Genomic DNA, 25,768 nt, shown 5'->3' with positions numbered 1-25,768 from the left:
CCCTTTAAAATTTTGCTCTAAAGTAACAGTTCTCAATCTTGGTTACGCAGTGGAGTCATTGGGGGAGAATACACATTGGGTACAGTGTACACTGCTGGGGTGATGGGTACACCAAAATCTCGGAAATCACCATGTAACAAAACACCATCTGTTCCCCAAAATCCTATTGAAATTAAAAATTAATAAAATAAAAATACTAAAGCCTGAGTCCCACTGCTCAAAGACTCTAGTGTAATTCATCTGAATGCAGCCTGGGCATTAGCCTCCCAAGGTGACTTTAATATGCTACAAAGGTTGAAAACTATTGTTCTAAAGACAACCTTGGCACTACTTACATTTTGGTTAGATAAATGTTGCTGTTGGGGGCTGTCCTGTGCATTATAGAATGCTTACTTAGCAGCATCCTTGGGTTCTACCCACTAGACACCACCAGCCCTCCCTCCCATTCCCCTTTCTAAGCTGTGACAACTAAAAATGCCTCCCAACATTGCCAAATGTCCCATGGGGGTGGAGGTAGATATCGCCTCTGGTAGAGAACCACTGCTTGTAAAGGAAAGAGTTCATAGTAAATCAATTTTATTATTTTTGGTGGTTAGAAAATAATTCCTGTCAAATAAAAGCAGTGCAAAACAGGACCTCATTTGACACTCTACTAAGTAAGACCTGTTGCAGGAAGTCAGGGACCCTGAACAGAGGGACCAGCTGAAGCCACGGCAGAAGAACATAAATTGTGAAGATTTCATGGACATTTATCAATTCCCCAATCAATACTCTTGTGATTTCCTATACCTGTCTTTACTTTAATCTCTTAATCCCATCATCTTCATAAACTGAGGAGGATGTATGTCGCCTCAGGACCCTGTGGTGATTGTGTTAACTGCACAAATTGTTTGTAGAGCATGTGTGTTTGAACAATATCAAATCTGGGCACCTTAAGAACAGGGTAACAGCGATTTTCAGGGAACAAGGGAGATAACCTTAAAGTCTGGCTGCCTGTGGGCTGGGCAGGACAGAGCCATATTTCTCTTATTACCAAAAATGGGTAAGAGAAGTATCGCTGAATTCTTTCCCCAGTAAGGAATATTAATAATTAACAGCCCTGGAAAAAGAATGCATTCCCAGGGAAGGCCTCTGAAATGGCCGCTCTGGGAGTGTCTGCCTTTATGCAGATGTAGATAGGGATGAAACATGCCCTAGTCTCCTGCAGTGCCCCAAGGCTTGCTAGGATTAGGAAATTCCAGCCTGGCAAATTCTAGTCAGACCAGTTCTCTGCTCTTGAACTCTGGTAAAATGTTTATCAATGACAATGCATACACAGCGGGACACGGAAGTTCATTAGTGATTCTAGTTTTGCCCTGACCTTGTGATCTCGCCCTAACCTCCTGTCTTGTGATCTTTTGTTGCCCTTAAAGCAAGTGATCTCTGTGACCCACACCCTATTCGTACACTCCCTCCCCTTTTGAAAATCACTAATAAAAACTTGCTGGTTTTGTGGCTTGGGGGACATCATGGAACCTGCTGACATGTGATGTCTCCCCCGGACACCCAGCTTTAAAATTTCTCTCTTTGTACTCTTTCCCTTTATTTCTCAGACTGGCTGACACTTAGGTAAATAGAAAAGAACCCACGAAGAATTATCAGGGGTGGGTTCCCCCAATAAAGAGCCAGTGGGCACCAGCAATGATGCACTGATCGCCAACCCACAGAATACAACAGAGTAATCCCAAATGCTTGTAGATATAGGAAAATGCTGAGAATGTCATAAATTCAGTATAACTTCAAAGTATACATTTAAAAATAGCACAACTGTAGCTAGTCAGGGATTTACAGATTAGAAGTACATTTGATCACATCTGTCATATTTGACCTCATTTCATTTTGTAAAGCTTTCATATTACCCACCCCCTATCCCACCACCCCCCAAAAAATCTGCTAAAATCTAGTAAACAGGCAACTATTTTTAGACAAGCTCATTTTCTTTAGTGGCTGTGGAATGCTGATTATCCTGCAGGGGAAGGTTTACAAAGAGGTACAGTCAACTGAAGAGGCCTAAAGTTACTGTCATTACAGCAAAAAGAAAAATTTAATACATTTAATTGTACTCTGAGCCCTAGACCTTCTTGCATTTTATTTGCAAATGCAATTATATCAGGCTCATAACACTTTCAGGTGTGATTTTAAAATGCAAGGCCTACAGACAAATTTGGCTTAGTTTATCTCTATTTACAGGGGCCAATACTTCTCACAAGCTGATTCTCGAGTACAAAAATCAAATGCATCTCTAATTCTGTGAAGGCATTTTGGTTTTCCCAAGTTCTTTAATGCTTAATCTCAGATTGAATTCACCATAGATCAAAAAAGCAATTTGAAACGAGAAAAAAGTTAAAAATATGAGTTCTTTAAAAAATAATGCTTTCCTCATAACATTTTTAAAAAATCTAGCCACAGTGGAGCAGTCCCTAGGAAAGTTACTTGCAGTTCCATCACAGTCTTCTTCCACTAATGGAGATACAATGAGAGGCTTACATGTTTACTGTTGTTTTCTTTAGGAACAGAGAATCAGAGGTGGAGATTTGGTGAAAAAATAGATGACCACAGTAAGGGAAATTATGGCATAGTAAAAAGTGAAAGAAAAAGACAAGCTCCTCAGTGACTTCCTCATTTTTGCTGCATTCCTTTTTCTCTACACAATACAAAAGGCAACCAAGAGCAATAAAAAAGGGATAGGAAACTTGTACTGAGGGCAACTGCTGGGTCGAACATTAAAGTGAAATATAAAAGCAATTTATGTGGTTCTTTACTCATCCATTTAAAAAATTAACAGAATGAGTGATCAAATTATTTAATAGATATAATTTAAAATGTGATAAATTTTAGAACACAGTTAAGGAAACAAAGAGAAAAACAAAAGGGAGGAGGGAGTGATAAAGGAGAGAGACATTTTTTTTTCTTGCTATCCAGAGAGTCATGCCTTAATCTTGAAGCATTTAGGATGCCGCTATAAAAAACTGATCTGAAATTTCAAAGCTGTCGAGATGCCCAGGCACAGTGTTAGGAAGCTCTAGAAGGAAATATCTTAATGAATTAGAGGAGTCAGAAGTGATAGTCAAAATATTTAAAAACTGATACATCAAAGGCATTGACCCTGGAGAGATGAAATGTACACTGTGATTACTGGAAAGGATGCTGAGTCTAAATAATCCTAAAGCCATCCAGGTGCAGGGCTCAACACTCCAGCTTTGGACTTCCAAGAAATGAGATGCAGGTAGTGATTAGAAAACGAGAGGGGGCCAAGCGCAGTGGCTTATGCCTGTAATCCCAGCACTTTGGGAGGCCAAGGCAGGTGGATCACTTCAGGTCAGGAGTTTGAGACCACCCTGGCCAACGTGGTGAAACCCCGTCTCTACTAAAAATACAAAAATAATTAGCTGGGTGTGGTGGTGTGCACCTGTAATCCCAGTTACTCAGGAGGCTGAGGCAGGAGAATCACTTGAACCTGGGAGGCAGAGGCTGCAGTGAGCTGAGATCCTGCCATTGTACTCCAGCCTGAGCGACAGAGCGAGACTCCATCTCAATAAAAATAAATAAATAAATAAATAAATAAATAAATAAATAAATAAAATGAGAAGGAAAGGTGATAATAGTAGAAGAGAGAGTGGAGGAGTTGGAAGAGTAAGAGTAGATATTTTTGCAATACACCCTATGGTAGTTAGCCTCCAAGAGGCCCCCAATGATCTCCATCTCCTAGTATTCATACCCTTGCTTAGTATGAATACTACCACACCAAATTAGGGTTGGTTTGTTTGACCAACCCCAGCTTCTGTCAGAAACTGTGGTATACCACTTTCGACATTCACATTATAAAAGACTGTGGCTTTGGTCTTGGGTGCCCCCTTGCTCTCTGTCTCTTACATCACTCACACTGAGGGAAGCCATGTGGCAAGAGGCCTTATGAAGAAACCCATGTAGACAGGAAATGAAGCTTTCTGCCAAGAGCCACATGAGTATATTCAGAAGCAGAACAGCCCCAGTTAAATCTTCAGAGACTGCTCCCCTGGCTGACAGCTTGAATGCAACTACATGAGAGAACCAACCTAGATTCCTGATCCTCAGAAATTATATGAGCTAATAAACATTTATTGTCTTAAGCTGCTAAATTTTGGAGTAATTTGTTATGCAGCAATAGGTAACTAATACACAGTATTAGAAAAGATAAAGATATTAAACCCATACAAATACTCTTAACTTGAGGAAATATTTTTCCATACAGGACAGGGCAAGGAAGGAAGAGGAGGCTTATGGAGTCAGCATTTTGCTGGTTTCTGTCATGCTCTGGACAGGAAGTTAATTTGTGCCAAGTATAATAATAGGTAATCCTCTCCATCATGAAGGGGATTGGGGAAATACCCCTGTACACCACATCAAGTACATGCTACGTCATGTAACAGCAAAAACAAGAGAAAGACTATCATTGGTAGAGTGTTTACTGCATGTCCATCATTTTCCACACATTATATCTTTCCTTCCTTCTACCTTCCTTCCCTCCCTCCCTCTCTCCCTTCCCTCCCTCCCTCTCCTTTTCTTTCCGTCTTTCCTTCTCTTTCTTTCTTTCTCTTTCTTTTTCTCTCTCTCTCTCTCTTTTTTTTTCTCTCTCTTTCTCTCTTTCCTTCTTTCCTTCTTTCTTTCTTTCCAAGGTCTCACTCTGTCACCCAGGCTGGAGTGCTATTGCATGATCACAGCTCACTGCAGCCTCAACCTCCAGGGCTCAAGCGATCCTCTCACCTCAGCCTTCTGAGTGGCTGGGACTACAGGTGCATGCCACCGTGTCCAGCTAATTTTTGTAGAGACGGGGTTTTGCCATGTTGCCCAGGATGGTCTTGAACTCCTGAGCTCAAGCAATCCCCCGTCCTACGCCTCCCAAAGTGCTGGGATTACAGGCGTGAGACACTGTGCCTGGCCCATTATCTTTAATCTTCATAAAAAGCCCCATTAAGTATAATATCACAAAGAATTATCATGAAGCCAATTGGGCTCTTTTCACTATACTTCACCGCCTTGAAAGAAAAGCAATAGAGGTTTGGCCATAGTTCAGGAGAGAAGAAATCTGACTAAAAGGCCAAGTAAAGCATCAAATCTAATAACTTGTCAGACACAAGAAGATCAAGCTCTGAGATGAAGCAGAGGCAACCAACAGAAATTGACATCAGAAACTCTGCTGGATCCCCACCAGCATGCTACCGATGAATCCTGCTCTCTTTCAGATGAATTTTTATTTTTTTTCCAATAAGGCCAGCCCTACCCTGGAATCTGGAACCAGTTCTGGCCCAGGGTAGAAAGGCTACCAAGCACCTATGGTAGAAGCCCTGGTGTCCAGGCATGCCTTGGACCTTATTATTGACCTTCTCTGACCTTGGCACTGCAGTTCCATGATGTCTGGTCTTGTTGCTGAGTTCCTTTGTCGACTTATTCCAAAGATACATATGACTTAAGGATGAAAAGTTTTATTGAAAACAAGAAGTATGATTTTCTGTGGTATTACATTCCATTTCTAGCACTGAAGATAAGGGAAATGGATTAGGAAGGTTTTGTTTAGTTTTATTTTTATAAATTTTAAGAAATACAAAATACATGGACAAAGTTAAAAATTCAGACAATATAGTAAGAGTACTCAGTGAAAAAGTAAGTCTCCTTCCTCAATTCCTCATTCCCAAAGTAACCACTCTTGTGAGTTTCTTATCTGTGGAAGGTAACTAATTTTTACATATAGCAGGTCATTGAATAATGTTATTTCATTCAACATCATTTTGCTAGAATATTGATGTAAAAAAAAAAATTGTTTCCTGGCTGGGGCCACTGTCCATGAGGAATTTGTATGTTCTCCCATGTCTGTGTGAGTTCTCCCAAGGTACTCTGGTTTCTTCCCATATCCTAGAGTTGTGCCCCTTAGATGAACTGGCATGTCTACATGGTTCCAGTCTGAGTGGGTGTGTGTGAGTGCACCATGGGGATGAGATGGTGTCCTGTCCAAGGTGGGTTTCCACCTTGTGCCCTGAGCTGTCAGGATAGGGTCCAGACACCTGTAACCCTGAACTGGAATAAGTGGGTTGGAAAATCAATAAATGAATACAAATTACTGTCAAATAAATAAACCCCAATTTGAATGTTACATCTCACCATGCTACTCAGGTTGAAGGGCCCAGGTATTTAAATTCATTAGTGATAAAAGTGAAGATAAATTATTTAGGTTTGAGTTAGGATCCTGTCCTGTTGAGCCGTTACATCAAACAAAACATCTTTTCTTTCATCTTCTGCTATATGCAATATTTTTCTATAAATGCATGTGAATACACTCGATATTCTACATGTTCAATATAGAGAGTATTCCAGTATAGAGTATGTCCAACATAGAGAGTATTCAGATGCATTTTCCTGTCCAATACAAGAGCTTTAAAAAAACATGAATAATACTTTCTTTCCTTTCTTTCTTTCTCTCTCTCTTTCTCTCTTTCTTTCTTTCTTGTTGTTTAACTGGGTCTTGCTCTGTCACCCAGGCTGGAGTACAGTAGCATGAACACGGCTCACTGCAACCTCAACTTCCTGGGCTCAAGCAATCTTCCTGCATCAGCCTCCTGGGTAACTGGGACTATGGGTATGCACCACCATGCCTGGCTAATTTTTCTTATTTTTATAGAAATGGGGTTTCACCATGTTACCCAGGCTGATCTTGAACTCCTGGGCTCAAGCAATTCTCCCACTTAAGCCTCCCAAAGTGTTGGTAGTACAGGCATGAGCCACTGTGCCTGGCCCTCAGCTTTTATAGATGGTTGTTATGCAAGAAATGACCATAAGATGGGCTCACATGCATTTGCTATGAAGTTAAGATTTTATTTGTTGTGCTTGCCTAGGCCATCTCCTGGGCACCATTTCATACTCTCTTGCTCCCGTACCTCTTATTTCCGCCACCACTGTGGAGACCAGTTCTGCTCAGATGCTGCCTCGGACTAAACTATTTATTGCTTGCTTCCTCCCCTGGAGATTCCCTGATGCCAAGGCATGGGATGCCCACAGAACTCACTCAGCCTTCAGGCCTACATAAACCAGAAATTCAGGGAAGTTAATGTCTGTGGAACTACCATTGGCCAAATGTGGGAGTGGTACTGGTAGCTAAATGGTCTGGGATGCTATTCACAAGCTACCTTAGAAGGTACCTGGGCTTAAGCAGCATTTGTCCTCAGATGAGCCCAACTCCATAAGTGTCCTCATAGTAGGTTTCCTTGTTTCCTCTTTCATTCCCAGTGCCCCTCACTCCTGTTCCTTGGGGTGATATTCCTAAATAAACCAATTGTAAGCAAGTCTTTGCTTCAGGCTCTACATTTGAGGAACCCAGACTAAGACAATGTTGTTCAATGTCCCATACACAGGAAGTCTTGTGATAAAGTCTTTATGATCTTTAGTGCCAAAAGAGAAGTTGTCTCCACTGAAAAACTTTTATTTTATCTATTAAAACAGTGAGAACTTTATAAGTCATTAGGTTTCTCTTTTTGCTCTGGTTATCAGAAAGCTTAGGAGAAATTGGATGCTTAATTAAAGTATATTATTATACTTTAGTATTCTTTATGGATAGTACATTTGCTTTCGTCCTTATTTATGGCTTTGATCTATTTTTATTGTAACATTATTATTATAAGAATGGCAAATCAAACTTTTAGGGAAGAAGTGGGATATAAATAATAAAAATATAATTTGTGTTACTTCCTTCCTTGAATGAGGCAGACTAAGACAGGAGAATGGAAATCAGAGTGACTCAGGTAAGGAATAAGTCAGTTAAGTACAGGTGTTATTTTGAAACAAATTCTAGAAAATAGATTCATAGATACAGAAGTCAAAGATTAGCAATAAATTCGAAGGAAGCAGACTTCTAACTCATCTGTCTTTACCCATTTCTTAGACTCTCGGCACGTAGCCAGAACTTGGCACATAGTAAATGTTTGTGTTGAATGAACAGTGTATGTCCTAGCAATTTCTACACAGTCAATTTAGAATTCCCTAGGATTGATTAAAGAACTAAAGAGCACATCCAGGAGCTCCTCCAGTGTATATACTAAAGAAACTCCTTATCAAACCAGCTTCATCAGAAATGGCCTAAGCCACACAGCCTTGAGACAAACTTATCAACTAAGGAAACACAAAGATAATTCCTCTGGGCACTAGAAGGTGACTTAAAAAAACAGTGTCTTTCACAGAAATAAAGATGTTCTTTGAAACCAACGAGAACAAAGACACAACATACCAGAATCTCTGGGACGCATTCAAAGCAGTGTGTAGAGGGAAATTTATAGCACTAAATGCCCACAACAGAAAGCAGGAAAGATCCAAAATTGACACCCTAACATCACAATTAAAAGAACTAGAAAAGCAAGAGCAAACACATTCAAAAGCTAGCTGAAGGCAAGAAATAACTAAAATCAGAGCGGAACTGAAGGAAATACAGACACAAAAAACCCTTCAAAAAATTAATGAATCCAGGAGCTGGTTTTTTGAAAGGATCAACAAAACTGATAGACCGCTAGCAGACTAATAAAGAAAAAAAGAGAGAAGAATCAAATGGACGCAATAAAAAATGATAAAGGGGATATCACCACCAATCCCACAGAAATACAAACTACCATCAGAGAATACTACAAACACCTCTATACAAATAAACTAGAAAATCTAGAAGAAATGGATAAATTCCTTGACACATACACTCTCCCAAGACTAAACCAGGAAGAAGTTGAATCTCTGAATAGACCAATAACAGGACCTGAAATTGTGGCAATAATCAATAGCTTACCAACCAAAAGGAGTCCAGGACCAGATGGATTCACAGCCGAATTCTACCAGAGGTACAAGGAGGAACTGGTACCATTCCTTCTGAAACTATTCCAATCAATAGAAAAAGAGGGAATCCTCCCTAACTCATTTTATGAGGCCAGCATCATCCTGATACCAAAGCCGGGCAGAGACACAACCAAAAAAGAGAATTTTAGACCAATATCCTTGATGAACATTGATGCAAAAATCCTCAATAAAATACTGGCAAACCGAATCCAGTGGCACATCAAAAAGCTTATCCACCATGATCAAGTGGGCTTCATCCCTGGGATGCAAGGCTGGTTCAATATATGCAAATCAATAAATGTAATCCAGCATATAAACAGAGCCAAAGACAAAAACCACATGATTATCTCAATAGATGCAGAAAAAGCCTTTGACAAAATTCAACAACCCTTCATGCTAAAAACTCTCAATAAATTAGGTATTGATGGGACGTATTTCAAAATAATAAGAGCTATCTATGACAAACCCACAGCCAATATCATACTGAATGGGCAAAAACTGGAAGCATTCCCTTTGAAAACTGCCACAAGACAGGGATGCCCTCTCTCACCACTCCTATTCAACATAGTGTTGGAAGTTCTGGCCAGGGCAATTAGGCAGGAGAAGGAAATAAAGGGTATTCAATTAGGAAAAGAGGAAGTCAAATTGTCCCTGTTTGCAGATGACATGATTGTATATCTAGAAAACCCCATTGTCTCAGCCCAAAATCTCCTTAAGCTGATTAGCAACTTTAGCAAAGTCTCAGGATACAAAATCAATGTACCAAAATCACAAGCATTCTTATACACTAACAACAGACAAACAGAGAGCCAAATCATGAGTGAACTCTCATTCACAATTGCTTCAAAGAGAATAAAATACCTAGGAATCCAACTTACAAGGGATGTGAAGGACCTCTTCAAGGAGAACTACAAACCACTGCTCAAGGAAATAAAAAAGGATACAAACAAATGGAAGAACATTCCATGCTCATGGGTCAGAAGACTCAATATCGTGAAAATGGCCATACTGCCCAAGGCAATTTACAGATTCAATGCCATCCCCATCAAGCTACCGATGATTTTCTTCACAGAATTGGAAAAAACTACTTTAAAGTTCATATGGAACCAAAAAAGAGCCCGCATCGCCAAGTCAATCCTAAGCCAAAAGAACAAAGCTGGAGGCATCACACTACCTGACTTCAAACTATACTACAAGGCTACAGTAACCAAAAGAGCATGGTACTGGTACCAAAACAGAGATATAGATCAATGGAACAGAACAGAGCCCTCAGAAATAACGCCGCATATCTACAACTATCTAATCTTTGACAAACCTGAGAAAAACCAGCAATGGGGAAAGGATTCCCTATTTAATAAATGGTGCTGGGAAAACTGGCTAGCCATACGTAGAAAGCTGAAACTGGATCCCTTCCTTACACCTTATACAAAAATCAATTCAAGATGGATTAAAGACTTAAATGTTAGACCTAAAACCATAAAAACCCTAGAAGAAAATCTAGGCATTACCATTCAGGATATAGGCATGGGCAAGGACTTCATGTCTAAAACACCAAAAGCAATGGCAACAAAAGCCAAAATTGACAAATGGGATCTAATTAAACTAAAGAGCTTCTGCACAGCAAAAGAAACTACCATCAGAGTGAACAGGCAACCTACAAAATGGGAGAAAATTTTCGCAACCTACTCATCTGACAAAGGGCTAATATCCAGAATCTACAATGAACTCCAACAAATTTACAAGAAAAAAACAAACAACCCCATCAAAAAGTGGGCAAAGGACATGAACAGACACTTCTCAAAAGAAGACATTTATGCAGCCAAAAAACACATGAAAAAATGCTCATCATCACTGGCCATCAGAGAAATGCAAATCAAAACCACAATGAGATACCATCTCACACCAGTTACAATGGCAATCATTAAAAATTCAGGAAACAACAGGTGCTGGAGAGGATGTGGAGAAATAGGAACACTTTTACACTGTTGGTGGGACTGTAAACTAGTTCAACCATTGTGGAAGTCAGTGTGGCGATTCCTCAGGGATCTAGAACTAGAAATACCATTTGACCCAGCCATCCCATTACTGGATATACACCCACACAACTATAAATCATGCTGCTATAAAGACACATGCACATGTATGTTTATTGCGGCATTATTCACAATAGCAAAGACTTGGAACCAACCCAAATGTCCAACAATGATAGACTGGATTAAGAAAATGTGGCACATATACACCATGGAATACTATGCAGCCATAAAAAATGTTGAGTTCATGTCCTTTGTAGGGACATAGATGAAATTGGAAATCATCATTCTCAGTAAACTATCGCAAGAACAAAAAACCAAACACCGCATATTCTCACTCATAGGTGGGAATTGAACAATGAGATCACATGGACACAGGAAGGGGAATATCACACTCTGGGGACTGTGGTGGGGTGGGGGGAGGGGGGAGGGATAGCACTGGGAGATATACCTAATGCTAGATGACGAGTTAGTGGGTCCAGCGCACCAGCATGGCACATGTATACATATGTAACTAACCTGCACAATGTGCACATGTACCCTAAAACTTAAAGTATAATAAAAAATACATAAATAAATTAGAAAAAAAAAGAAAAACTAGATAGAATCATTCTCAAAAAAAAATAAAAAAATAAAGACAAGTCTTGGTTAAAAAAAAAAAAAAAAAAAAAAAAAAAAACAGGGCCTTTCAGAAGGCAATTTACCAGATGAATTCTTAAAGTGTCTAGTAGATCCCAAAGACTGAACATAACATTTGCAAAATGGCATTAAACAGCAGCCCAGCTGTCTATGATTACATATCTTCAGAGTCTGAGAGTCAACCAAGGATGCATTTTACCTACCTCTCACTACTACAAATGGACCATCACAATACATTAGAAATCCTGGCACTTTAAAAACTATTTTATTTTTCTCTATAAACTGAAGGTCTTACCATTAATGTGTATGTCATTAAAATTTATTACAAACATTCTAACAAGGTCTATAAAATCTTGTTTACACAATCCCGATAGTACAGAAAGGAAGAGATACCGATGGCATTGGCATCTTGTCTCTGGATAGCTAATGTACTCTAAAGTATGACCACCTGGTCCAATTATTTTCTTTGAAGTATACACATTTCCTTTAGTCCTTGTAATCAAATACTACTTCAGAGACAGGAAGTAACACTACTTCCCTTGTGGCAAACAAGGACAACTTGATTAAAAAGATAAATACAGCTCCAGTCCAAATGTTTTAATCACTAGAGATGGCACTTCCTGATTCTAAATATCAGTGTTCCTTTGTGGTTTCTGGTTTTCTCAGCAAAGTTCTTTAAAATTTTGCCCACCATAAAATTTAGATCAATGTATTTTCAGAGTGGATATGAGGTGTTCTATTAGAAAGGTAAGATGAAGTTGGGGAATGTGATTTTTTAAAATACCTTCCTATCATACCACTTTTACAAGAACATTTATGCAGCCAAAAAACACATGAAAAAATGCTCATCATCACTGGCCATCAGAGAAATGCAAATCAAAACCACAGTGAGATACCATCTCACACCAGTTACAATGGCGATCATTAAAAAGTCAGGAAACAACAGGTGCTGGAGAGGATGTGGAGAAATAGGAACACTTTTACACTGTTGGTGGGACTGTAAACTAGTTCAACCATTGTGGAAGTCAGTGTGGCGATTCCTCAGGGATCTAGAACTAGAAATACCATTTGACCCAGCCATCCCATTACTGGGTATATACCCAAAGGATTATAAATCATGCTGCTATAAAGACACATGCACATGTATGTTTATTGCAGCATTATTCACAATAGCAAAGACTTTGAACCAACCCAAATGTCCAATGATGATAGACTGGATTAAGAAAATGTGGCACATATACACCATGGAATGCTATGCAGCCATAAAAAATGATGAGTTCATGTCCTTTGTAGGGACATGGATGAAGCTGGAAACCATTATTCTCAGCAAACTATCGCAAGGACAAAAAACCAAACACCTCATGTTCTCACTCATAGGTGGGAAATGAACAATGAGAACACATGGACACAGGAAGGGGAACATCACACACTGGGGACTGTTGTGGGGTGGGGGGAGGGGAGAGGGATAGCATTAGGAGATATACCTAATGTTAAATGACGAGCTAATGGGTGCAGCACACCAACATGGCACATGTATACATATGTAACAAACCTGCACGTTGTGCACATGTACCCTAAAACTTAAAGTATAATAAAAAAAAAGATTAAGTCTGAATTATCATTTTTTCTACATTGGAGGAATCATAAGCAAACAGGCAATGCTGATAGCATATTAATATAAACTAAAATAAACTAATTAATATCAGTTGGAGAGCTGCAGTTAGAATGTGGTGGTGAGTCTGTGAGTGGTGGCTCATTCCTGTAATTCCAGGACTTTAACAGGCCAAGGTGGGAGGATCACTTGAGGCCAGGAGTTTGAGACCAGCCTGGACAACACAGTAAGAACCCGTCTCTACAGAAAAATTTTACAAATAACAATTAGCCATGGTGGTGTAAACCTGTAGTATCAGCTACTCTGGAGGCTGAGGCTGGAGAGTCCCTTGAGCCCAGGAGTTCAAGGTTGCAGAGAGCTAAGATCATGCCACGGCACTCCAGCCTGGGCAACAGGGTGAGACCCTGTCTCAATAAAAAAAAGAATGTGGTAGGTGTTGCCATGGCAGAAGGCAAGAATTGGTCTGTATAAGGCACCAACATATAACCACAGTTACAGAAGCAAAGAAGAAAACAAGGCATTATTCAAAGCCTGTCTTTAAAAACGCAACTGGCAGTAAAGTTCAACATGAACAGTTCACAAGATTTACGGGTTCTCTCATGATTTTCTGATTTAAGAACTCTTTACCAATTCCAAACCTAATTTCTTCCTCCTCTGCACATCTACCGTCCCCTATAACACCAATTCCACTACACTCTAGTTGTCTGTTTTTACTGGCTATCTCTCTGCCCTCCCACATGAGCACACATACAAATGCACACACTGTGCACCTGGAGTTAAGGGCCACGTGGTCATCTGAGCATTTCTAGTGGTGGGTACTGTGTCTGGCTCAAAGATGCTCATTCAGTCAGTGTTTACAGAGTGAATAAATGAATGAACCAATAACTGTTAAATAAACAGACAAAAATCACACATTGTTACGACTGGAAGAGATTTAAGAAAATATCTAATCCAATACCTTTATTTTACAGTTGAAGAAACCATGCAGAGAGATGCAACGTCCCACCATAGACAAAAACCTAGGCTGGGGCTTGTAAATTACATGTTTCGGTACTTTCAAACAACTATGGCCAATAGTTTTCTATTTTGTAGATGTCAAAGTCACTTTGTTTAGTTACTGCTCCCCATCACCAAAAGATAATTTGGCTTTTAAAATCCACAGTCTAAATGGAAAGTGTAAGAATTATAACTGAGCTAACAGGGTGAAACCCCGTCTCTACTAAAAATACAAAAAATTAGCCGGGCGAGGTGGCGGGCGCCTGTAGTCCCAGCTACTCGGGAGGCTGAGGCAGGAGAATGGCGTGAACCCCAGGGGGCGGAGCCTGCAGTGAGCCGAGATTGCGCCACTGCACTCCAGCCTGGGCGACAGCGAGACTCCGTCTCAAAAAAAAAAAAAAAAAAAAAATTATAACTGAAATTAAAATCAGCTTGGTTAGGCCAGGTGCAATAGCACACACCTGTAATCCCAGCACTTTGGGAGGCTAAGGTGGGTGAATCACTTGAGGTCAGGACTTTGAGACCAACTGGCAAACATGGTGAAACCCCATCTCTACCAAAAAAATAAAAAGTAAAGAAATTAGCTGGGCGTGGTTGCACATGCCTGTAGTCCCAGCTACTTGGGAGGCTGATGCACGAGAATTGCTTGAACCCAGGAGGCGGAGGTTGCAGTGAGCCAAGATTGCGCCACTGCACTCCAGCCTGGGCAACAAAGTGACACTCCATCTCAAAAAAAAAAAAAAAAAAAATATTCAGCTTGGTTAAAAAGATTGATAAATTAGTCACCTACGTAGCCTCAAAAACAAATTTAATATTATCGCCAGAAATAAGTTCTCAGTTTATAAGTGGATTTTGAGTACCCATTTTACTCCCCTCTTCCTACTGTTATTATACATGGCTAGTAATCGTCTGCATTACAAAAGCCTTATGTTTTTGTTATTCATACTACCATTCTCATTTTTTTCACAGATAAGAAACAGACCACCAAATTCTGGGATTCTATGTGGTAAAGAGAACTGAAACATGGATACAAGACAGGAACCATATTAAAAATATTAAAAGGTTGTGAGAATAACTGTGGTATATCCACTCAATAGAGTACTGCAGTTATTACAAGTGACCTTTATAGGTAGTTTATAACAGCATAAAATATGATTAAAAATGTTAAATAAAAAAGATATAAAATTTGGCATAAATAATTAAAACTCAGCAGAGAAAAATGGCAAGAAATAAATACACCAAAGATGTTGATTATGTTTAGGTAGTAGAATTAAAGATTATCTTTTTCTCTTCCTTTTTCCACGTTTAAAAAATGTTCTAAAGTATATTTATTTAGTTTTATAATGGAAAAATAAAATAGATTAAATCTTTCTACAGAAAATAAGAAGTTGGTGTCAGAGGTTGCACAGTCAATATTGAACTTCCCTTTATTAGTTTCTTTTGGGTCTCTGTTTTTGTCTTCCTTCCAAATTCTCCAATTCTTGTCAACAAGTCCCTGGAGAGGGTATCTTTTGAGCTAAGAAATGGGGTCCTGATTGAAGATATAAAGTAAGGAAACCTTAGTGTCACCTCTTCCCTTAGGAGCTGTTTGAGAAATATACTGAGAAATTCACTCTATTTGTTGGAGTGAAGAACTTCCTGCAAATGCCTTTTACTAGATTTTTTATGTTCTTAGAAAACCTGGAAAGTCCCTAAATAATTCAACACACTCTTTCCTGGGTTTGGTTGCTGGATGTATGTTCAATTTTTTCCCCCATGACAGTAAATGGCCTTTCTTTTGAGATTACTGATTACTATGACACTAATGTCCCAATTAAAATGTAGATGTAACTTTCAGGCACCATCTATTTTAAGAAGAATAAAATCAGCTCAATAGGAGGTAACCCTCCAGCTACTTCCTAAGCTGCTTAGAGCACATTCCTCCACGCTTTTAAAAAGCTATTTTTCCAAAAATTATAGTGCTTGGTGTGTCTTCACCACAGGTAGCTTTCACCTGCAGGTAGAGCTACATCAGGGAATCATAAAGCAAAAGCTGAGAAATTAATGCTGCTCCTCCTTTCTCACCTCCTCTGGGAAAGCTGTATGTGACTGCCTGACACTTATAAATGAATATGCAGGCTCCCAACTCTGATACCCAAAGGAACACAAGAAACAGCCAGCTGAGCTCTCTTCTTCCCTCATGTGCACCATCTGGTTCACTTTCTACGCGTAAGTGCATTTTCCACATTGCAGAAGCATGTGCTCATTGGAAGGCTGTATAGGTTTCTAGCCAAACTGTAAGAACAGAAAGCCCTTGCTGGTCTGAGAACTCTGAGAAGGAGATCTAAGCAGCAGCTTAGGCAACTATCTTGAGGCCTGCAACAAGATGCTACCATTGAGCATTCTACCCATTGCAGGTGTACTCAGCTTTTCCCAAAGGGAAAAATATGCAGCTCTTCACTCCTGTTTCCAGACTTCCGCTCCCATGGCTTAGGGTTCTTGAGCCTGTGACAGAAAATATCACTCTCAAATAAATGGGCCTACTCTCCTCATAATTCCCTCAAACACATGGCATTACAAACCATATCCTTAACAAAGGAATATGTAGGGAATATTTATTCATGCCCAAACTCAAAAATAATTAAAAACAGAATTTGAGATTAGCTACAGAAACATAAATAATACTCCAGCATAAAAATAAATATGAGGAAAGATTCCCTCTCTTGGTATTTTAACCCTTTGACTTTTGCCCACTATGACACATAATAAATATTTAGGTTGATGATGCTTTGGACAGTGTAAAATGCTATTTTGATCTCTTCATCTCAAATTATGCCATTGCTTTCCTTGAAAACTTCTCTGTGTTAAACCCAATCTACTGAAGTGTACGAAAACTTGTACTTCAATTAAATAAAAACATTAATAGATCAAATATAAACCACACCTTACTTGTTACTCTGGATTTTGCTTAGTATTAATACATGCTAATACAATAAAAGGTCTAAACTATCTTAATGAGGATCCATGAATGATAGCTTAGAACCTCTTATTCCAAAATCTACTTTTGCTTGACTCATACAGTCTCACTCCCCATCCCACCAATAAAAATATGCCTGGGAATATTCATGAGCAGATGCTATGAAAGCTGAGTGATGGTCTTCTTTTGGTCAGAAATTAGGTACAAATTATGTGGCTGTGTAAGGAGAAAGAAGAAAACAAATAGAAAAAGCAGAAAAGCCATAGCTACAGGAAGCCTTGCAGATATTATAGCTATTTGAGTGTTCCATTGTCATAAGACCCAAAGCATAGTTTTAGAACTAGAAGACATCTATGAGGTCCTGTTCATGCCATCAGTTTATAGGAAAATGGGCTTTAGGAAGGTTTGTGACTTGCTCAAGGTCACGTATATGGTTGGCAGTAGAGCTAGACTAGAAATAGAATCTGGATCTTTTGGTTCCAAGTTTTCTTTCAACTATACCACAAAACATATCAGTTCTTGAAATTATCAAAATATAAACCATTTGAATGAAAAACTTTCTAAACTAATGTTAGAAAGGGGGTCTAAATGTTTGTGTCCTCCCAAAATTCATATGTTGAAAACTAATCCTCATGGTGATGGTATTATGAGGTGGGGGATGCTGATTAGATCAAAGGGGTGAACCCCTCGTGAATGGAATTAGTGCCCTTATAAAAGAGGCCCCAGATAAATCTCTCAGCCCTCCTGCCATGTAAGGTTACAGTGAAAAGACAACCATCTATGAGGAACCAGGCCCTTATAGACACCATATCTGCTGGTGCCTTGACCTTGGACCTCACAGCCTACAGAACTGTGAGAAATAAAGTTCTGTAGTTTATCAGCCACCCAGTCTATGGTATTTTGTTAAAGCAGGGTGTATTAGTCCATTTTCATACTGCTATGAAGAAATACCCAAGACTGGGTAATTATAAAGAAAAAGAGGTTTAATGGATTCACAGTTCCACATGGCTGAGGAGGCCTCACAATCATAGCAGAAGGTGAAAGAGGAGCAAAGGCATGTCTTACATGGTGGCATACGAGAAGAGCATGTGCAGGGGAACTTCCCTTTATAAAACCATCAGATCTTGTGTGATTTATTCACTACCACAAAAACAGCACAGGAAAAACCCACCCCCATGATTCAATTACCTCCCACCTGGTCCCTCCTATGACACATGGGGATTATGGGAGCTACAATTCAAGATGAGATTTGAGTGGGGACACAGCCAAACCATATCACAGGCTGACTGGATTAATACACTGGTTTACATAATTCCTGCTTTTATATACAGAATATAAAAAACATTATTGAACCTTTTCTCTGTGAATCAAGTCACTATTGTGAAGTTCAACAATGTGAACTCACAGTCTGTGAATGCTAATGTGACTTTGAGTGTAGTGCAATGTCAGGAATCTGCTAAGTGCTTTTTATGGATTTACTCTTTGCTCTCACTACTTACTGTTTTCAGTGATGCTGCTCCAAGTATCATCCCCTTCCCCACCTTCTCATTTCAATTCTAAACTCTTATGTTTTCTGAAGTCTATCCTCTAGAGTAATATAAAATGCAGACAAATGAATCCCATATTTCTTGCAGCATTATTCATAAGAGCAAAACAAAAATGAAAATGTCCAACATAAGAGAATATTTAGTGAGTGGTACTTTCAAATAGAATATGATGTAGCCATTAAAATTATCTTCACATGAAGAGGCTTTAATGAAATAAGGAAGTGCTTATGTAATAATGTTAAATGCAAAAAGCAGGATATAAAATCACAATAAAACTACCAGATATCAACTACATTTTTAAAATGCTTAGAGTGAGGAAAATATACCAAAGTGTTTACAATAGTAAGATTACTGACAATTATTATTCTCATATTATACTGTTCTACATATTTCTGTTCATTTCTGCAATTAAAGTATAACATTTTAAGTCAGATAATTTTATAAAAGGAAATACCACATTGGAAAATATAACCTAATGAGTCAGAACTATATAAAATAAAAATATATAGATTCTAGGTGAGAACTGAAAGCCTCTGTTGTATGGACTTGTCCACAGTTCTGTGACACGGTAGGGTTGCACACACATGGTTTTTGCTCACTTCCCATTTCTTTGCTGAATTCCAGGTTGCTAGATAGCTGAATTCATGGATAGGCAAGGCATTAAGGTATATATGTATTAAAGGGGAAGAGAGAGAGAAAGAGAAAAAGGAGAGGGTGAAAAAATTCTGAGGCAATGATTTTAGAAAAATGTCTAAGTGTTTTTTTCATTAATTGTTTTTTTATTAATAGAAGTTTAGACGCTACAAATAGCAGTAATTGTCATTAAGTCACTCAGGCTGATTTATCAGTGAAGGAGCATTAAAGACAAATTAACCTCTCTAGAGACCAAGATATCTTCTAACTAATAATTAACTACCTCCTAAAACTGGGAGAGCTGAATCAAGAATGTGAGGAAGTCAAAACTAAGATAGAATAGAAAGAAGCTAAACAGTTGAAGCAAATGAGCATGTTAGTGCAGATGCTCCTCGACTTAGAATGAGATTACATCCTGATAAACCCACTGTAAATTGAAAATATCCTAAGGTGAAAATTCATTTAATACACCTAACCTACTGAACATCATAGCTTAGTTTAGCCTAACTTATATATGCTCGGAACACTTACATTAGCCTGTAGTTGGACAAAGTCATCTAACACAAAGTCTATTTTATAATAAAGGGAATAAAGTGTTGAATCTCATGTAATTTAGTGAATACTATACTGAAAATGAAAAACAGAATGGGTGTATGTGAAGTACAGATTTTACTGAATGTGTATCACTTTTGCACCATCATAAAGTCAAAAAGTACTAAATTAAACCATCTGAAGTCAGGAAGCTTCTGTGTAGGATGGTTACATCTGCACATATTGGATACTACTAGCAATTTTCTTTTTTCTTTTTTTTTTTGAGATGGAGGCTCTGTCGCCCAGGCTTGAGTGCAGTGGCGCGATCTCGGCTCACTGCAAGCTCCGCCTCCTGGGTTCACGCCATTCTCCTGCCTCAGCCTCCCGAGTAGCTGGGACTACAGGCGCCCACCACCACGCCCGGCTAATTTTTTGTATTTTTAGTAGAGATGGGGTTTCACCATGTTAGCCAGTATGGTCTCCATCTCCTGACCTCATGATCCGCCCACCTCGGCCTCCCAAAGTGCTGGGATTACAGGCGTGAGCCGCTGCAACCAGCCTACTACTACCAATTTTCTATCCTAATTCTTTTGTATTATTATATTTTTCTGCTAAATAGTAATGTTTTTTCTTATTTTATCCTCTTTCTTTGATTGAAATAATTAACGTATGGGTTATGGAGGAGGAGGTAGTAACTTTTGGTTTTGCAACACACAGCAACACTCATTCACTCATGCATACACATAGCCTACCCTCCCACATCCACTGTCCTGCATCACCTCATGCAGAGATGAGCAAAGGCAAACTGAGCTCAGAGCGGGTGTTTTATCAAATAGATGTTGCTAGACTTTTCAAAGCTGCTGAAGATCACTTTAAAAACTTCCCCTCTGCCTTCCCAAACACTGTATGCCACGAAAAGACTAAGTTAGAATACGGCTGACCCTTAAACAACAGAGGTTTAACTGCATGGGTCCATTTATATGTGCACTTTCTTCTGTCTCTGACACCCCTGAGACAGCAAGACCAGCTCCTCCTCTCCTCTTCAGCAGTCTGTTCAGCCTACTCAAAGTAAAGACAATGAGGATGAAGACCTTTATGATGGTCCACTTCCATTTAATACAGTAAATATATTTTTTCTTTTTTATGATTTTCATAAATTTTTTTCTCTAGCTTAGTCTTAAGAATACAGTATAAATACACATAACATACAAAATATGTGTTGATTGACTGTTTATGTAATCAGTAAGGCTTCTGGTCAACAATAGGCTATTAGTAGTTAAGATTTTTGGGGAATCAAACGTTTTATGCTAATTTTAGACTGCACAGAGAGTTGGCATCCCTAACCCCCATGTTGTGCAAGGGTCAGCTGTACTTTACACTGGTTTAAGGGATAGACAAGGTCCAAATCTGTTCTCATTCATCACTAGTGGCATTAACTAGCATTTGCAATATGATCTCTAAGGACTTCCCCAAACATGATAATATTTTATTATTATCATGTGAGATTATATTAGCCCAATTTTACAGATGAAGAAACATAGGTTCTAAGAGGTTAATTTGCTGAAGATCACACCAGTATTAACCTGGTGGAAGGCCTAGACCTTAGATCCTCTAACTCTCAATCTTGTGTTTATTTCTACTGTTTCATGCTACAGGGCTTATTGACAGATTAATTCTATGCCAAACTATTTGCCCCTAAAAGCCATGTGCAAGCCTACCTCTGAGGATCTGTTGCTGCTCAACAACAGTGCAGGAGAGTGGAAAATTATGTCTGAAGCAGGAAAAAATTGAGTGGTGGGTGATTGCAGCTAATGTTCATGCTCACCTTGATGTCTACTTGTGCCCCTTCATCCACTAGAATGCATCCCCCTTCTCTTCACAAATACATGCCCACCATTTGTCCTTCAAGGTTTAAAATAATGCCCCCTCTACAGAATTTCATGGAAAATTTCAGCCATTTCCACTATTTCTTGGCTCCACATTTCATCTTAACTTTAATAACGCGAAGATATTACAGGGTGTATTTAGTCCCAAATTCCTCAGAAATTTTTCTCTAAAGCTCATACATGTATGTTTTAGTCCTCCAGCAAGACTTTCTGCAAGATCTATTTTCTACATCTCAGATTCCTTTTCATGTTTTCACTGCTTTTCTCTTTCCTTCAACAACCTAGTATATTGCCGTGCATTCAACAATTGCTTACTGAGCAAATGAGAACCTGCATTAGTGTAGTAAAAGCATAGCTTGATTAGTAATTAGGAAGTTGGCGTCCCAGTTTTACAAGTAAGTAACTGCATTATTTCAGGCAAGTCTATGAGTTTGTTTTCTCACCATAAAATGGTCACAGGGGCAAGAAGTGGGCGGACTATATGAGTTCTATGATCTATAAGATGCTATGAATATTTAAATATTATTTTGGTTGGGACTGATCAAAACCTAACTTTATTCCATTAAGGATGAGAGAAGAGATGAATAAGAATTCCAATGAGAAGAATATTGAAAGTAACAAAAATGCTAGGCAGAAGAAAGCCAATGTGTCTGGAAAACAAAAAAAAAAGCAAAGAAGAATAAGAGAAAGCAGAGATGTCCTGGGCAAAACTGGAAATACAGATCCTGCTTGAGAGGGAGGTGAAGGGGTTAGAGGGTGGAATATACATGGGGGCAGCTTAGTAACTAGAAATATTGTTTAAGTGGTTAGGTGAATGTAGTATAATGTTTTGTTTTGTTTATTTGCTCTTCTGTTTGCTATTTGAACTTGAAATCAAATGGTAAGAAAGTATCGAGCATGCATAGATTCTGATGAAGAAAATAAGATGCATGCTAAAAAATACTTGTAAAAATAGAAGCAGAAGTTCTTGGCATTAATATAAGAATTAATACCATTAACATTTGACCATTAGAAACCTTTTTTCCTGTACTTTTTCTCCAATTTTTTTGAGAGGGGGAGGTGGAGAGGTATAGCAATTTTAATCAGGGTATTTCTGCTGCTTAAGTTTAATTTTATTAAAGATTTTCATAATTCCAAGTAATACTACACTAATTTCATTAAAATTGGGTCTTAGCTGACAGACCATATAATAGATTAAAATAATGTTATAAGGAGTTCTGTCCATGACTTCATTAATAAGCTCCCTTGGATGGGAAGAACCTATGGCAGGCAGTGAGATGAAGTCTCTGATGTGGTAGTGTCTGAGTTGCTAAGGAAAAGAAAGCAATGATTAGCTTAACAGTTTGAGAAAAAAAAATACCTCTTTAGAAAAGAAAATATCTAATATTAACACAAATATTTGAATCGAATAACATTTCTTGGATTCTCGGATGTAAAAGTTTTCAGTTGCTATCCAAAGTTGAAATAACACTTTAGGAGTACCCAGTTAATAAAAGGCCAAAAAAATCCCAATAAAAAACAGCAAAATTTTAAAGGCATTTGATATTTAAGATCCATTTTTAGGAATCTTCTGACCATCTTGAGACTAAAACTGCAGAGAAGAAACTTACTATTAGTCCATGTTACATAACTTTGAATCTAGTTTGCCCTTAACCTTTTACCAAGTTTAATCAAGGTTTATAATGAATTTTTTTTGCAAGGAAAAAAAATGTGTGTTTTAAAAACAAACATACCTGCTTCATCATAGGATACAGTCAATTTTTCTAGCATTTCTCGGTCAATTGACAAAATCTGCTGTTCAAGGATGGTCTGGTAAGATAATACACTATTTTCTTTGTCTTTCTCGTAGTCCTGAAGATGCTGTTTAAGGGCCTCTGGGAGTCGAGATTTTACATATTCAGCTGCAGTCTGCAGATAAAACAGTCAGAGAGAGAGAACTCCATTAGAAATTCTCCCCTTAGACTTTTTACTTACCCTCAGGTGCTATAGAGAAAGCTCAAAGCACTGTGAAACCAACCCTCCAGACAAGCATGTCCTTGTCATCGTCATTTTTAGTATCCACTGGACCCAGTAAGGTGATCTTCAAATAGAATCACAGACCTCTAAGAGTTTTCTACTAGGTTTAAAGGTATAAAAGATGATAGACTTGGTTAGATATTCGCAGATTTAGTGCTCAGAGTTTCAACTATTATAGTGAACTGAAGGCCCCTGACAGTGATTTTGCTGGATACAAATTTGACTTGCCCTTGTCTACAATGCAGAAGACAGTCACTCATCTCAGCAATGACCCCATCCATGCTACGGCATCCACATCCCTACTTTGTTTTATTAGTCTCTACTCATTAATGTTTACATAAGAACTCTTGTAAAGTGAATTTTATAAAGGAGAGTCCTCTGCTAGGGCTGATAATGAAATAATGGGATAAACAGAAAATGAGGAGATTTAAGACAATGCCCCTTAACCTGGGGCAAAACAAACAAACAAACAAACAAACAAACAAAACCAAACCTCTTCACCACTTAAATGCCTTAAAGCTTACATATATATAATTCTTACTTTGACAAGTTTGTTGTTGTTGTTGTTGCTGTTTGTTTTTTGTTTTTACACTATCTGTACAACACACTCCCAAATAGTTACATTCCAATTAGTAACAACTAATTACATGCAGTGATTTTCAATCAGGTAAGCACGTTCCACATGGGGGTAGGAAGGAAGATATGCATATTTTGAAAAGATTTTCCCAAAGATTCTGATATGTTCTTCTGGTAGGCTGCAGTGGTAGCATACTCTTTTCTCTCCAAGTTGAGAATCCCATTGCTAGTTAAGCAGAATTTTATGAGCATAATTAAGTGACAGAGAGGCATGCATAAATCAGGGGAATTCTGAAATTTATAAAACTTCTCTCTCAGGAATGTCAAAAGTTTAGCATCTCCTTGCAGTGCAGTCCTGCTTTACTCACATAGTGTCTAAGGTTAATAAATCAATCAATGAAGTCCACCATATATTGTTCAAAATTATATTCATAACCAGTATAAAACTTCACACACACACACACACACACACACACACACACACACACACACAAAACTGCTAAAAAACGAACAAACAAACAAACAAAAAGATGGTATCTGGGGCAATCTTTGCTTAGAATAAGGCAAAGACACATCTACATAGAAAAAAGAAAAACCCATAGTGTTCTGTTGCACAGTAGGGTGACTATGGTTATCAGTAAGGTGTCGTATATTACAAAATAGCTAGAATAAAGGTTTTTGAATGTTCCCAACATAACTAAATTATAAATGAATGAGGTAAGGGATATGCTAACTACCTTGATTTGAACACTATATAAGATATACATGTATTGAAACATCAAACTGTACCTCATAAATATGTAAAGTTACAATGTATCAGTTTTTAAAATTCTGTACAGCTATTAATTGTACAACTTAAAATAAGTATGCATTAAACATACATACTGATATATATATATATATGATACACGCTAATCAACAGAGGTTCAGTTTTTTTCATTTATAGAGTAGTATCCTCTATAGCCTTTGGAAAAAATGAGATAGGACTATATGTACTGACCAGGAAGAATACCATAATATATTGTTGAGGTTAAAAATCAAAGTCACAGAATATCAGGTACAGTATATCCTACAACATATATATACATATATATGAGCATAATTAAGCAACACATATATATATAGTGTATTTAGCATTATCATATAGGCATAGGAGAAGGTATGAAAGAATATACTCCAACTGTGGAAGACACTTTATTTTTTTATTTTTATTTTTTTGAGACTGAGTTTCACTCTTGTTGCCCAGGCTGGAGTGCAATGGCATGATCTCGGCTCACTGCAACCTCCACCTCCTGGGTTCAAACGATTCTCCTGCCTCAGCCTCCTGAGTAGCTAGGACTACAAGTGCCTGCCACCATGCCCGGCTAATTTTTTTTGTATTATTAGTAGAGACGGGGTTTTACCATGTTGGCCAGGCTGGTCTTGAACTCCTGACCTCAGGTGATGCACCCGCCTCAGCCTCCGAA

General features: G+C 38.4%; 1 protein-coding gene across 5 annotated transcripts in view, besides 1 other annotated feature; it reads right to left on the bottom strand.

Annotated features, from left to right (window-relative positions):
- Window positions 1–25,768, bottom strand: part of PPM1L (protein phosphatase, Mg2+/Mn2+ dependent 1L) — a 322,672-nt gene that overhangs the window by 93,549 nt on the left and 203,355 nt on the right. For all 5 annotated transcript variants that reach the window (NR_134243.2, NM_139245.4, XM_011512440.4 and 2 more), the window contains one exon: window positions 23,444–23,618. Coding sequence is in view for 4 of the 5 variants with exons in the window: in NM_139245.4 (NP_640338.2) it covers window positions 23,444–23,618 (175 nt within the window). In the remaining variant the exon portion in view is untranslated. The remainder of the gene's footprint in view (window positions 1–23,443; window positions 23,619–25,768) is intronic.
- Window positions 984–1,554: an enhancer, noted in NCBI's record as "OCT4-NANOG hESC enhancer chr3:160701588-160702158 (GRCh37/hg19 assembly coordinates)". NCBI's record gives its function as "activates a minimal SCP1, AML or CMV promoter by ChIP-STARR-seq in primed H9 embryonic stem cells {active_cell/tissue: H9 hESC(primed)}" and the evidence as "EXISTENCE:reporter gene assay evidence [ECO:0000049][PMID:30033119]".

This window comes from Homo sapiens, chromosome 3 (assembly GCF_000001405.40).
Source record: "Homo sapiens chromosome 3, GRCh38.p14 Primary Assembly".
Classification (NCBI taxonomy): Eukaryota; Metazoa; Chordata; class Mammalia; order Primates; family Hominidae; genus Homo; species Homo sapiens.
Note: the sequence above shows the minus strand (reverse complement) of the source record. Positions and strands in the feature narration are given on the sequence as shown.